Source organism: Homo sapiens, chromosome 1 (assembly GCF_000001405.40).
Source record: "Homo sapiens chromosome 1, GRCh38.p14 Primary Assembly".
NCBI classification, from domain to species: Eukaryota; Metazoa; Chordata; class Mammalia; order Primates; family Hominidae; genus Homo; species Homo sapiens.
In genome coordinates, this window is record NC_000001.11 from 239,941,728 (window position 1) to 239,954,233 (window position 12,506).

Below are 12,506 nucleotides of genomic sequence, written 5' to 3' on the forward strand. Positions count from 1 at the left end.
AGAATATTCATAACTGACTTATTTATAACAGCTCCCATTAAGAAACAGCTCAAACATCCATCAAGAGGAGAACAGCCAATCATATAAATGTGGAACATTTGTATGATAGCACACTACTCAGCAATTAAGGACAAATACTGATAAATGCAATAAAATCAACAAATCTCAAAAGCACCAGGTTATACAGAAAAAGACACAAAAGAGCACATAAATTATGATTCTCCTCTCACCATTGAATTGTCTTCATATCTTTGTCAAGAAATGGTTGGTGTATAAGTAGATCTATTTCTGGACTCTATTCTGTTACTTTGATCTATATGTATATTTTTATGTCAATACCACACTGTTTTGATTGCTACAGTTTTCTAGCAAGTCTTAGTTACTAGAAAACAAGTGATGGCGATCTTTCAACCATGTTCTTTAAGAACATTTTGGCTATTCTACGTTTTTCAGCAATGCATTTTTAGTACTCTAAGCTTTGGTCACCTTTTAATTAAACTCAACATTTTAATTACTATTTTTTTTGTTTTGTTTAAGAGATGAGGTCTCACTCCATTATCCAGGGTAGAGTGCAGTGGTGCAATCACAGCTCACTGCAGCCTTGACCCCCTGGGCTCAAGAAATCCTCCTGCCTTAGCCTCCTGAGTAGCTAGGAATAAAGGCTGTGCCACCATGCCAGGTTAAGTTGGGGTTTTTTAGAGACAGAGTCTTACTGTGTTGCCCAGGCTGGTCTTGAATTCCTGGACTCAAGCAGCCCTCCCGTCTTGGCCTCCCAAAGTGCTGGGATTACAGGCATGAGCCATAGCACCTGGCCCAGGCTAAGTTTTTATTTTTTATTTTTTGTAGAGACAGTCTTGCCATCTTACTCAGGCTGGTTTAGAAGTACAGGCCTCAAGCAATCCTCCCTCCTCAGCCTCCTGGTTAGCTGGAATTACAGGCATGAGCTACCATGTCCAGCTTATAATTTACTGTTTTATAATAAATAAATAAATAAATCCTCAAATTTTAAATTACCTCATTAAGATAAATGTTGATTCCCATCCCTCTTTCTTTTCCTGTTTCCTTTCTGTATTAGTTCCTTTTTCATGCTGCTAATAAAGATATACCCAAGACTGGGAAATTTATAAAGGAAAGAGGTTTAATTAACTCACACTTCAGCATGGCGGATGGGAGGGGGAACCTCAGGAAACTTACAGTCACGGTGGAAGGAAAAGCAAATACGTCCTTCTTCACAAGGCAGCAGGAAGGAGAAGTGCTGAGCAAAAGGGGGAAAAGCCCTTTATAAAACCATCAGATCTCATAAGAACCCACTAAGTGTCATGAGAACAGCAGCAGGGGGTAACTGCTCTGGTGACTCAATTACCTCCCACCAGGTCATTCCCAGAACATGTGGGGATTATGGGAACTACAATTCAAAATGAGATTTGGGTGGGGACACAGCCGTATTATATCATTCTGCCCCTGGCCTCTCCCAAATCTCATGTCCTCACATTTCAAAACATAATCATGCACTTCCAACAGTCCCCCTAAAGTCTTAACTTATTCCGGCATTAACTCAAAAGTCCAAGTACAAAGTCTCATCTGAGACAAGGCAAGTCCCTTTCTTGGAGCCTGTAAAATCAAAAGCAATCTACTTGGATCTACTTCCTAGATACAGTGGGGCTACAGGCATAGGGTAAATACACCCATCCAAGTGGGAGAAATTGGCAAAAATGAGGGGGCTACAGGCCCCAAGCCAGTCCAAAATCCAATAGGTCCTGTAAAATCAAAAGCAATCTACTTGAATCTACTTCCTAGATACAGTGAGGGTACAAGTATGGGGTAAATACACCCAATCTGAGTGGGAGAAATTGGCCAAAATGAGGGGGCTACAGGCCCCATGCCAGTCTAAAATCCAATAGGGTAATCATTAAAACTTAAAGTTCCAAAATTGTCTCCTTTGACTCCAAGTCTCACATCCAGGTCATGCTGATGCAAGAGGTGGATTCCCATGGTCTTGGGCCACTCCACCCCTGTGGCTTTGCCAGGTAGAGCCCCACTCCTGGCTGTTTTCATGGGTTGACATTGAATCTGCGTTTTTTTCCATCTACCATTCTGGCATCTGGAGGATGGTGGCCCTCTTCTCACAGCTCCACAAGGCAGTGCCCCAGTGGGGACTCTGTGTGGGGGCTCCCACTGCACATTTCCTTTCTGCACTGCCCTAGCAGAGGTTATCCATGAGGGCTCCACCCCTGCCGCACACCTCTGCCTGGACATCCAGGCATTTATATACATCCTCTGAAGTCTAGGCAACGATTCCCAAACCTCAGTTCTTGACTTCTGTGCACCGAAAGGCCTAACAATATGTGTAAGCCACCAAGGCTTGGGGCTTGCACCCTCTGAAGGAATGGCCTGAGCTGTAAATTGGACCCCCTGTAGCCATAGCTGGGATGCAGGGCATCAAGTCCCTAGACTGTACAAAGCAGCAAGGCCCTGGGCCCAGACCACAAAACCATTTTTTTCTCATAGGCCTCTGGGCCTGTGATGGGAGGGGCTGCCGTGAAGACCTCTGACATGGCCTGAAGACATTTTTCCCATTGTCTTGAGCAATAACATTCAGCTCCTTGTTATTTATGCAAATTTCTACAGCTGGCTTGAATGTCAATTCAGAAAAAGGAGTTTTCTTTACTATCACATTGTCAGGCTGCAAATTTTCCAAACTTTTATGCCCTGCTTTCCTTTTAAACATAAGTTCCAATTCCAAACCATATATTGCTGAATGAATAAAACAATGCTTTTAAGAGCACCCAAGACACTTCTTGAATGCTTTGCTGCTTGGAAATTTCTCCTGCCAGATACCCTAAATCATCTTTCTCAAGTTCAAAGTTCCACAAATCTCTAGGGCAGGGGCAAAATGCCACCAGTGTCTTTGCTAAAGCATAGCAAAAGTCACCTTTACTCCAGTTCCCGATAAGTTCCTCATCTCCATCTGAGACCACCTCAGCCTGACTTCATTGTCAATATCACTATCAGCATTTTGGCCAAAACCATTCAACAGGTCTCTAGGAAATTCCAAACTTTCCCACACTTTCCTGTCTTCTTCTGAGCCTCCAAACTGTTTCAACTTCTGCCTGTTAGCTAGTTCCAAAGTCACTTCCGCATTTTCAGGTATCTTAATAGCTATACCCCACTCTACTGGTACCAATTTACTTCCCTTTCTGAAAACCTAAGACTTTACAAAAGACAAAATAGCCTTTCTTTTTGTGGATTTCACTGTGTTCTATTTACGTCCTAGAGAAGAAGGAAAAACAAGTAAAATATACAGTAGAGAGAATTTCACTATAAATTTTCACTATTTTCCCACTAGTCATTTAAAAAACTTTATGACTACAGGATCCCATAATTCAGATCAACAGTTTCTTATTTGGCCAACTTTGTAACCAGATTTACAACAGGCTCTCACACCACTTTGCCTTCTGAAATGTGCTAGCTAACTCCAAATGCCATGAGGAAATTAGGGTCCCAGAGCTGGCTGAACACCAAGCTCACCTAGAGATTGTTTCACACATCTGTCAGGCTTTACTTCAGACCTCTATATCAGTATATTTAAGCACCTTGAGAAATCGCTGTGGAGCCAGTTTGAGGAACCAGAGCCCGGAATTGCCTGGCCTTAAACACTCAGTTCATGCAACATTGAGGAGAAGCTGGCAGTGCCCAGTAGAGCACACCAACAAGTCCCATAAAGGAAAGAAAGGCTTTGAAGATCCTTACTCCTGAATGGTGTCCCACCTGCCCTTAAGTTAGCTTTGAAAATAGGGATGCAATGTGCCGAATCGACCTCACCCCAGAGCAGCTTTCTGAAGCTGGCATAAATATCAGAAAAAGGGCTGCTTTCCTGCCCTGCCACTTCCCCTGGCTCCCCAACAGCTCCTCTGTCACTCTTTCCATCTGCAGACACCTCAGGAGGCAATCAGCACAACAGCCTTGCCCTGTCTTTCAATCCTCCTTGGATTTGCTCCTGTTATTCCTCCTCCCTGAAATCTCTACCTCCCCACTCCATCACCACCTGTCAGATCATTTCCTTGAATACCTGATTTAAATGGTATTTCCTCACTAAGCCATTGTGACTGTCTAGGTCTGGATTTTCCAGCCGTGTTCGGACTCCATGCATTCGGTTCCACTGTCACACTTTGAGGAAAGCCCATGTGCGCTGAAGTTTTGGTTTTCACACTGTTTGCTGCTCTCAGCGTCTTCACCTGGAGTTCATAATTCCCTCCTCCATGCACTCTGGCACTTTGGCTATGTCTCTGTGTTGGTGATAATTCCGGGCCTCTGTTCCAGCATCTGGGTGGCCATCTGGCTCTGAAGCTGTCTTGAAGACAGGTATTGATTTTTATTCCCTGCACGTTCTCCTGGCATTCACCCCAGAGAAGAGGAGTGTGATATTATTCCACAAATAACTTCAACCTCCAAAACTGCTAGTGCCCTCACTGTTTCACTTTACATTCAGCCATGTGGAGAAATCTAAGTAGGAATTGTTTTTATAGTGGTCCACTCTAATGTTAGTACTTGCTGTGGGTTGAATTGCATCCCCACCATTCATTTGCGGAAGTCCTAACCCCCAGTACTTCAGAAAGTGACCTTATTTGGAGATAGGGTTGATGCAGATGCAGACGTAATTGAGTTAGGTGAGGATGTGATCATAATGGGGTAGAGAGAGCAGGGTGGGCTCTTAATCCAATATAAGTTGTGTCTTTACAAAAGAAGAAATTTGGACACAGAGACACAAAATGGGAGAACTCCATGTGGACAGGAAGGCAGAGATTCAGGTGATGCATCTACAAGCCCAGGAACACCAGAGATTGCCAGGAAACCCCCAGATGCTGGGAGAGAGGCATGGAGTGGCTTCTCCCTCACAGCCCCCAGAAGGAACCAACATTGCAGACAGCTTGATCTCAGCCTTCTGTCCTCCAGACTGGGTAACAATAAATCTCTGGCTTTCAAACCATCCAGTTTGTGGTACTTTCTTCTGGAAGCCTCAGCAAATTTACAAGGGACTTATTCAGTGAAGACTCTTGCACCTTCACATTTACAGCTATAGACCTTTAGTAGTATACTTCTTGAATCTCTAAGAATGATTCTCTTGTTCTTTAGGCCGCACTTTTTAGGAGATGACAATTTTTTTTTAGCAAATAGACTTATGCAAATATAGTGTCTTCTTATGCTGTCCTTTCAAAATGTTTGAGCCTGGTACACATTTACTTAACCCTTAATACTACGTATTTGATTTAAAATTGAGTGTGACTACACATAATGCAGAGCCCAAAATAAGAGCGATTTACAATTAAATCACTCTCTATTTCTCCCTCATGTATAAGTCTCAACACAGGTCATCCATGAAATCATTGTTGCCTGAGTTCCTTCTAGCCCACCACCCCATCCTCCTTAGGGGCACTCATCTGCATGATTAAGGATAGCAGCCAGCCTTCCAGCCATCACACCTGCATTCCAGAGAGTAGACTGGAGAAAGAACTAAAATGAAAAGGGCACACTGCACAAAGTGTCTATCTTTTAAGGAAAGATTTCATTATCTACCACATGATACTTCTGATTATGTCCTAATGATTAGAATTTCCACTTGGTCATAATTTAGTCACATGGCCACACCCATGACACACAATGGAGGCCACTTGTCAACTTTATTCTCAGTGTGTTCCCACATAAAATCAGACATTTTACTAGCACGGAAGACGACAGTGGAGAGTGAATAAACACTAATTGTCTTAGGTGCTTGGCACACATATGGAGCTCAAAAGGTTTATCCAGCAAAACCGTTTATTTTATGTAAGTCATTGATATTAATGATATTCTATATAACCCACCCAGACATTTCTATTAATTACATTAATGCTAACCACAAAAGCAATATTTCAGTGTCATAATACAATAGGACAGTGAATAATAATAAGTTTATTACTCATTCACATAACAGCCCAAGTAGATTTTTCTGGTTGACAGGCAGTTTTTCTCTACATGTGATTCAGGGACGGACTTTTTAAATTATATCAGAATTCAGCCAGCAGACTGAGGAAGAAGAGAGCAAAAGCAGGCATGACCACATCTCAAAATCACAACCCAAGTTCAACACATCATTTCTACTCATATCCCATTGACTAGAACGCAGTCACCTGGCCACATTCAATGCAAGGTATTTAGGAAGAAGAGAAAAATAATTCTTCTGAACAGTGAGCTATATCTGCCACAATATTTGCCTCTCTTGGAGGAAACATTAGCACAGATGACTCATCAGCTCACAGAGCAATCTCACTTAAGCCTCAACTCAAAAAGCAACATCTTCACCTCTCTATAAAAACTGGAAATAAAGGATAGTAGTGGATGCATCCATAAAAAAGAACGAGATCATGTTCTTTGCAGGGACATGGATGGAGCTGGAGGCCATTATCCTTAGCAAACTAACACAGGAACAGAAAACCAAACACCACACATTCTCACTTATAAGCAGGAACTAAATGATTAGAACACATGGACACATAGAGGGGAACAACACAAACTGAGGCCTATCAGAGGGTGGCAGGTGGGAGAAGGAAGAGGGTCAGGAAAAATAACTAATGGGTACTAGGCTTAGTACCTGGGTGATTAAATAATCTGTCCAACCAACCCCCGTGACACAAATTTACCTGTGTAACAAACCGGCACATGTGCCCCTGAGCTTAAATAAAAATAAAAATAAAAATAAAAAAAAAAGGAAGAAGAAATCACAAAACTTCAGGTTTTGGGTTTTTTGGGTTTTTTTGTTTTTTTTAAATTTATTTTGAGACAGAGTCTCACTCTGTTGCCCAGGCTGGATGCAGTGGCATGATCTCAGCACACTGAAACCTCTGCCTCCCGGGTTCAAGCGATTCTCCTGCCTCAGCCTCCGGAGTAGCTGGGATTACAGTCATCTGCCACCATGCCTGGCTAATTTTTTGTTTCACCATATTGGTCAGGCTGGTCTCGAACTCCTGACCTGAGGTGATCCGCCAGCCTCGGCCTCCCAAAGTGCTGGGATTACAGGTGTGAGCCACCGCGTCTGGCCCCAAAATTTGAGGTTTTGAATATCCTAATTACCCTGATTTGTTTATTACACATTGTTTGCATGTATCAAAATATAGCATTCCCCATAAATATGTATAATTATCATGTGTCAATAAAAAAATTAAAGGAAAAAAATGATAGTAGTGGGATATTTGGGCTCCTGAAGGACATTGTTAAGGTTACTCTAAAAATGAGCCACTTGCACTTACAAAAATACAATAAATTATCTTGCTAAAAGGAGAGAAGGAGAAAAGATTGAACTTTTTGAGGGTCAATTCTATCAGTATATACATATTTAAAAAAACACTAGCCATTGATGTAGTATAGTCTTTTTTGGTTTTTGTTTTCCTTTAAAGGAATTTGCCCTTTAAACAGGCAGGGAGTCTCATGCCATTCTCAGTCCCTCCCCCAACAGCAGCCTGCCCGGGCCTGCTCCTCTGCGAGACACTGTAACTGAAGTATCGCTCCTGTCGAGGTATCCTACAAACAGTCACAGCTCCCGTTCCCGTCTCCATCTGATTACGTCTGTGGAAATTCACTGTCCATCTCCATGACCCACTTGGCTTTTTTTTTTCCGAGATGGAGTCTTGCTTTCTTGCCCAGGCTGGAGTGCAGTGGCGCGACCTCGGCTCACTGCAACCTCTGCCTCCCAGATTCAAGCGATTCTCCTGCCTCAACCTCCCGAGTAGCTGGGATTACAGGTGCCCGCCACCATGCCTGGCTAATTTTTGTATTTTTAGTAGAGATGGGGTTTCACCATGTTGGCCAGGGTGTTCTTGAACTCTTGACCTCGAGATCCGCCTGCCTCAGCCTCCCAAAGTGCCGTGATTACAGGCATGAGGCACCATGCCCAGTCACCACTTGGCTTTTCCAGTAGCCAGAGAGGCAAGGAAAATAAGGAACAGTGGGCATTACCAACTTGCATTTCTCAAGGGGTTGATGACACTGCTCACCCCTCGGTCTCCTCCATGGATGATGTGCTGCGTTCAGTTTCCTCTCAGGAAGGTGTAGTTCTAGGGACCTCTACTTGGGCCTTCCTTTCTTAATAAGCAAAATTTTTGGGATCAGAAAAAAAAATGTGGAGATTCTACCAGTTGCTAAATCTACCTATTCCCATTATCCATTCTGGAACTGGAGAGTAACCACAGGAGGAGGCCATGGTTCCACTGGACAAGCTTAACCTGCGGCCAAGGCAGCTCCTGTCCCCAGACCTCCAAAGCCCCTGCTTCAACTGATGGGCCACACAGCATTTCTGATGTTGGGGATTCAAAATATGCTCAGAACATATAGACAAAATTCTCCAGAAAACGCATGTAGATGTTTCCCTTCTTCCAGAGTGTGGTCACAGCAGTAATTGCCTTTGACTTTGGGGCCATTTGGGGAAGCTGATGGAAAAGATACATGGCACATATCTGAGACTCCATTGCAGGGCCATTCCTTGAAGGGCTCCAATCTCTTCCTCAGCATAGGAGCTCAGAGTCGGGCCATTGCTGGCTTATGTTTCATAACTAGTTTAGAGACAGTGAATCCTCACTGTAGCAACAATCATATCTAGAATTGTTTTCTTGGTAGGCCATCCATCAGTTTCATTTGTAAGGACACCTGATCAATTACCCCACACCACGTATCCTTGTGGGTCACACTCTCTAATTCCCATCCTGCCCCCGTGGCATACTGTGTGGCATACTGTGTAAAGGACAGCCATGCACAGGGCTCTTCAAAGACGCTGGCGCCTCCCTTGCCAATGCTGTGATGAAAAGTGTGAGCTCTGCTTCTCCCAGCAGGCAAGATTAGGGATGGCTGAGCAGACTGCACATCATAGCTCCATCCCACCATGCCTGTCCTTATGCATTCCAACTCCTTCCTCCCTCCCTCGGCAGTGTGGCAAGGACATTTTAGCATTCTGACCTCATTATCTGGAGGCCATGATAAGGCCAGAATATCAACACCACTAGCAGGTGGTCAACCCAACACTTGGAACCCAAATCCATAGAGAGCACTCTCATGTCAATGAATTCAGTCCAATCAAGACCTTTATTTTGCTCCTTGGTCCACCGCCTTGGACCGACTCCCACTCCTGCTGCCCAGGCTTTTGCCAGCATGGACCTGCAAGGTCCCATAAGCTTTCAGCGTATAGTCGTCTCCTCCAGGGCAGTCCTGGCAACACTCTATCCTGGCTATTTTAACATCTATCTTTAGATCTGTCTTTTCTTACGGGTTCCCAACTGTACAGTGAAGCAAGATCAAGCAGTTCCTTCATTGCACAGATGACCTCCACCCTAAGTGAAGAGTGAATCTGAGGGGACAAACGGAAGTTATCTGTACATCAAGCTAACAATGGATTTTTAAACAGAAATCAGAACAATCTTTTAGAGGTAATGGATACATGTACACTTCTTTAATGGCAGTGATGGTTTTGTGGAATATATTTCAAGACTCATGGAATTGTACATTTTAAATTGATTGGTTCTTTGTGAAATTGATTATACTTCAAAAACCCTTAAAGAAATTTAAATACTAACACACCTGGGAATTTGAGCACTTTATACTGATCAACATAAAATATAAATAAACCATTCATATTGCAAAACGTATTATGGAGTCATAATGAGGAATTCTGGAAGGCTAGAATAATTATATGTAACGGTGTATTATGATTCACACCGCTCATGTGTATGAATACATGTTACATACGATTATATGTAACAGTGTATTACGAAGCTAGAGTTTAATTTATTGAAGCCATTTCTACTTTTATTTTTATTTCTAAAGAATATAAAACATTTTTAAACTCCAAATTTAATATGTTATCTAAGTGAAACAAAGTCAAATGCAAAAATGTCAATATCTGCCTTGTGAAAGGCAGAAGGTCCTTGGAAGTCAATGATAAGACATAAATGAAAGGCCACCAGAGGGCAGTGCAGGACTGCTTAGGACAATGAGTGCCCCACCTCAACATTTCCACAAGCTAGCATTGAAAACACGTTTTATCATCTTACAGAATGTCTAAATAAATATTTATTTGCTATTATTCTTTCATATAATTTGAAAAATAATAAAAATTTCCTACAGGAAACAAATAGAAGGTTATCCACTAACTGGAAAGTATATCTTTTTACACATTCAGATATGTAAAATTATGCAAGAAAGAATGAGTCAAGTTGGACTTTAATCCATCAAGATGTAAAAGTTTAACTGCAAACAAATGAAACAACTAAATTAATAAGTAAAACTCAAAGTCTTAGAAGGAAATATAGGAGCAAATCTTTATGACCTTGAATTTGGCAAGAGCTTCTTAAACATGTCACTGAAAACGCTAGCAGTAAAAAAAAATAAAACAGATGAATTGTATGTCAACAAAATTAAAAACTTTTGAGCATCAAAACACACTCTTAAGGGAGTATAAAGACAACTCAAGACTGTCAGGAAATATTGGTAAGTGAAAAATCTGATAAAGATTTTGTACCCAGAAAATATAATGAACTTTTACAGTTCAAGGACAGAAACGCAACCAATCCAACTACTAACGGGCAAAGGACTTGCATAGACATTTCTCCAGAGAAAATATTCAATCGGTGAATAAGCACATGAAAGATGATGAGCAACCTTAGATATCAGGGAAATGAACATCAAACCAGCAATGAGATACCACTCCACACTCACCAGGATGGTTATAACAAAACAGCAGCAGGTTCTGTTGTTGTCTCAAGACCTGGAGCTGGAACTGGCTTGGGCTCTGGAGCTGGAGTTGGGGCCAGAGCCTGCAGTGGCTGCATGGCTGGATCTGGTGCTCTTGCTGGGACTGCCTTAGCCCTGGAGCTGGAGCTGTTGATGGAGCTTGCAAAGGAGCTCGGGAGCTGGTGCTACGGTGGTTGCTGCTCTTGCTTCCAGCTCTGCAGATTTCCCTAGAGCGGCTGGTTAAGGCTGCAGCTGGAGCTGGTGGTGGACCTAGCCCTGACACACACTCTGAAGGTGGCTTTTGAGCTTGAACTGGAGCTGGCTCTGGAGCTGCCAGAGGAGGAAAGATCACTAACATGACTGACTTTCCATGTGCCTTCTACTGACAAAAATCTTCCCTCTGCCTTTCTGAGAAACTCAGAGAAACTCCACACCCAGGAAGTCTTCCAGACTGCAGTCGGCCACATGATTGGGCTGAGTTTCTCATTGCTGCGTCCGCTCCTCAGCTTCTGGCAGCTCTGCTCTGTGCAGTCCAGCCCTGTCCCCTCCCCACGGGCTCACATGAACCCACCCCCAGGCCTCCTCACACACCGGCTCTGCTTCAGTGGGCCCTGGGTGCTCCAACTGACCCCTGGGTGGCTCCTCCCTGTCGCCAGTTGCTCCAGCAAAGCACAGTGGACCCAGCCTCCCTGGTGGTGGGTGCTAGCACTGCACCCAAGGGAAAAAAATCACCAACCAACACACCTTTGTTTGAATGACTTCAAGGCATCAGCTCTCCCTGGTTTCAGGGAACAAAGGAGCAGGAGCTGTAGGATCCAGGGCATTGAGAGGGACCCCGCAAACTTTCCTTGTCCCCCTATTGCCAGCAATAGCTCTGGGGTCCAGTTCACTCATGAGGCCACTTCACCACAGCCAGGGCAGTGACTATGGGTTCATTTCCAGTGAGGACTGAAGGCTCTAACAGATGGTCTTTGCCTTATTCAAGATGAGTAGTTCAGTGCTCTGCCATGTTCTTCCTTACCCCACATCTCAGTCCTCCAGTCTCTCTCTGATTCACTCTGCTGCAAAAGACTCTGAGGAAGTAGAAAGCATTTTCCAAGGACCACGGAGTTCAGTAAGTCATCTACAGGGAACCTGGAGCCATAGACACTTTCTAAAGTGTCACCTTGGGGTGACCAACCCATAGCATCACAATATGTAAGGAGGTAAACTGAGGCCCTCTTGCCTGTAGCCCTCCTCACCCTAGGAGGTCTTGTCTCAGTTGAAGGTGCCCAGTATGGTGGACATAGAACCCCAAGTACCATCTGCTTCTGACTGCTGTGAGATGGTCTCAGACCAGGCAGACCCCCGGGTACCTTACAGCTCCCCCAGGCCAGCATCCTGGCATCTCTTTCCTTCCCAGGCCATGGTCCTGGTCATGGTGCTAGAAGAGTGCAGAGATGCCTCCAGCCTTTTCTTACTTTTCCCTTGTTACCTCCCCAGGGTCCACTTTTCCTCTTACTTCAGCGCTGTGATCATCAAGCATGTGGGTGCATACCCATGGGGTTGCTAAGAGGTACAGGGCCCACATAGGAAGGCTAGGGAGGGGTCCCCAGTCTCTTAGGGAACCCCATGTGAGATGGTTGAGCCCTGGCCTAGGAGGTGGGAATCCATTATTTTCTGGACATGCCCACGTCCTATACCCTCACCAGTCTCTGCTTGTCTCTGGGACTCAGGTTCCCAAATGTCCAATGGCGGGTGGACTGGAACTGTGT

The 12,506-nt window shown here is 43.9% G+C and overlaps 1 long non-coding RNA gene across 1 annotated transcript in view; it reads right to left on the reverse strand.

The window, feature by feature from the left end:
* The window catches only part of LOC105373224 (uncharacterized), a 38,407-nt gene extending 27,128 nt beyond the window's left edge, over positions 1-11,279 (reverse strand). Inside the window, exon 1 of the long non-coding RNA XR_949315.4 lies at positions 10,738-11,279. This is a non-coding gene — a long non-coding RNA (uncharacterized LOC105373224). The remainder of the gene's footprint in view (positions 1-10,737) is intronic.
* Between the last annotated feature and the right edge of the window lie 1,227 nt (positions 11,280-12,506).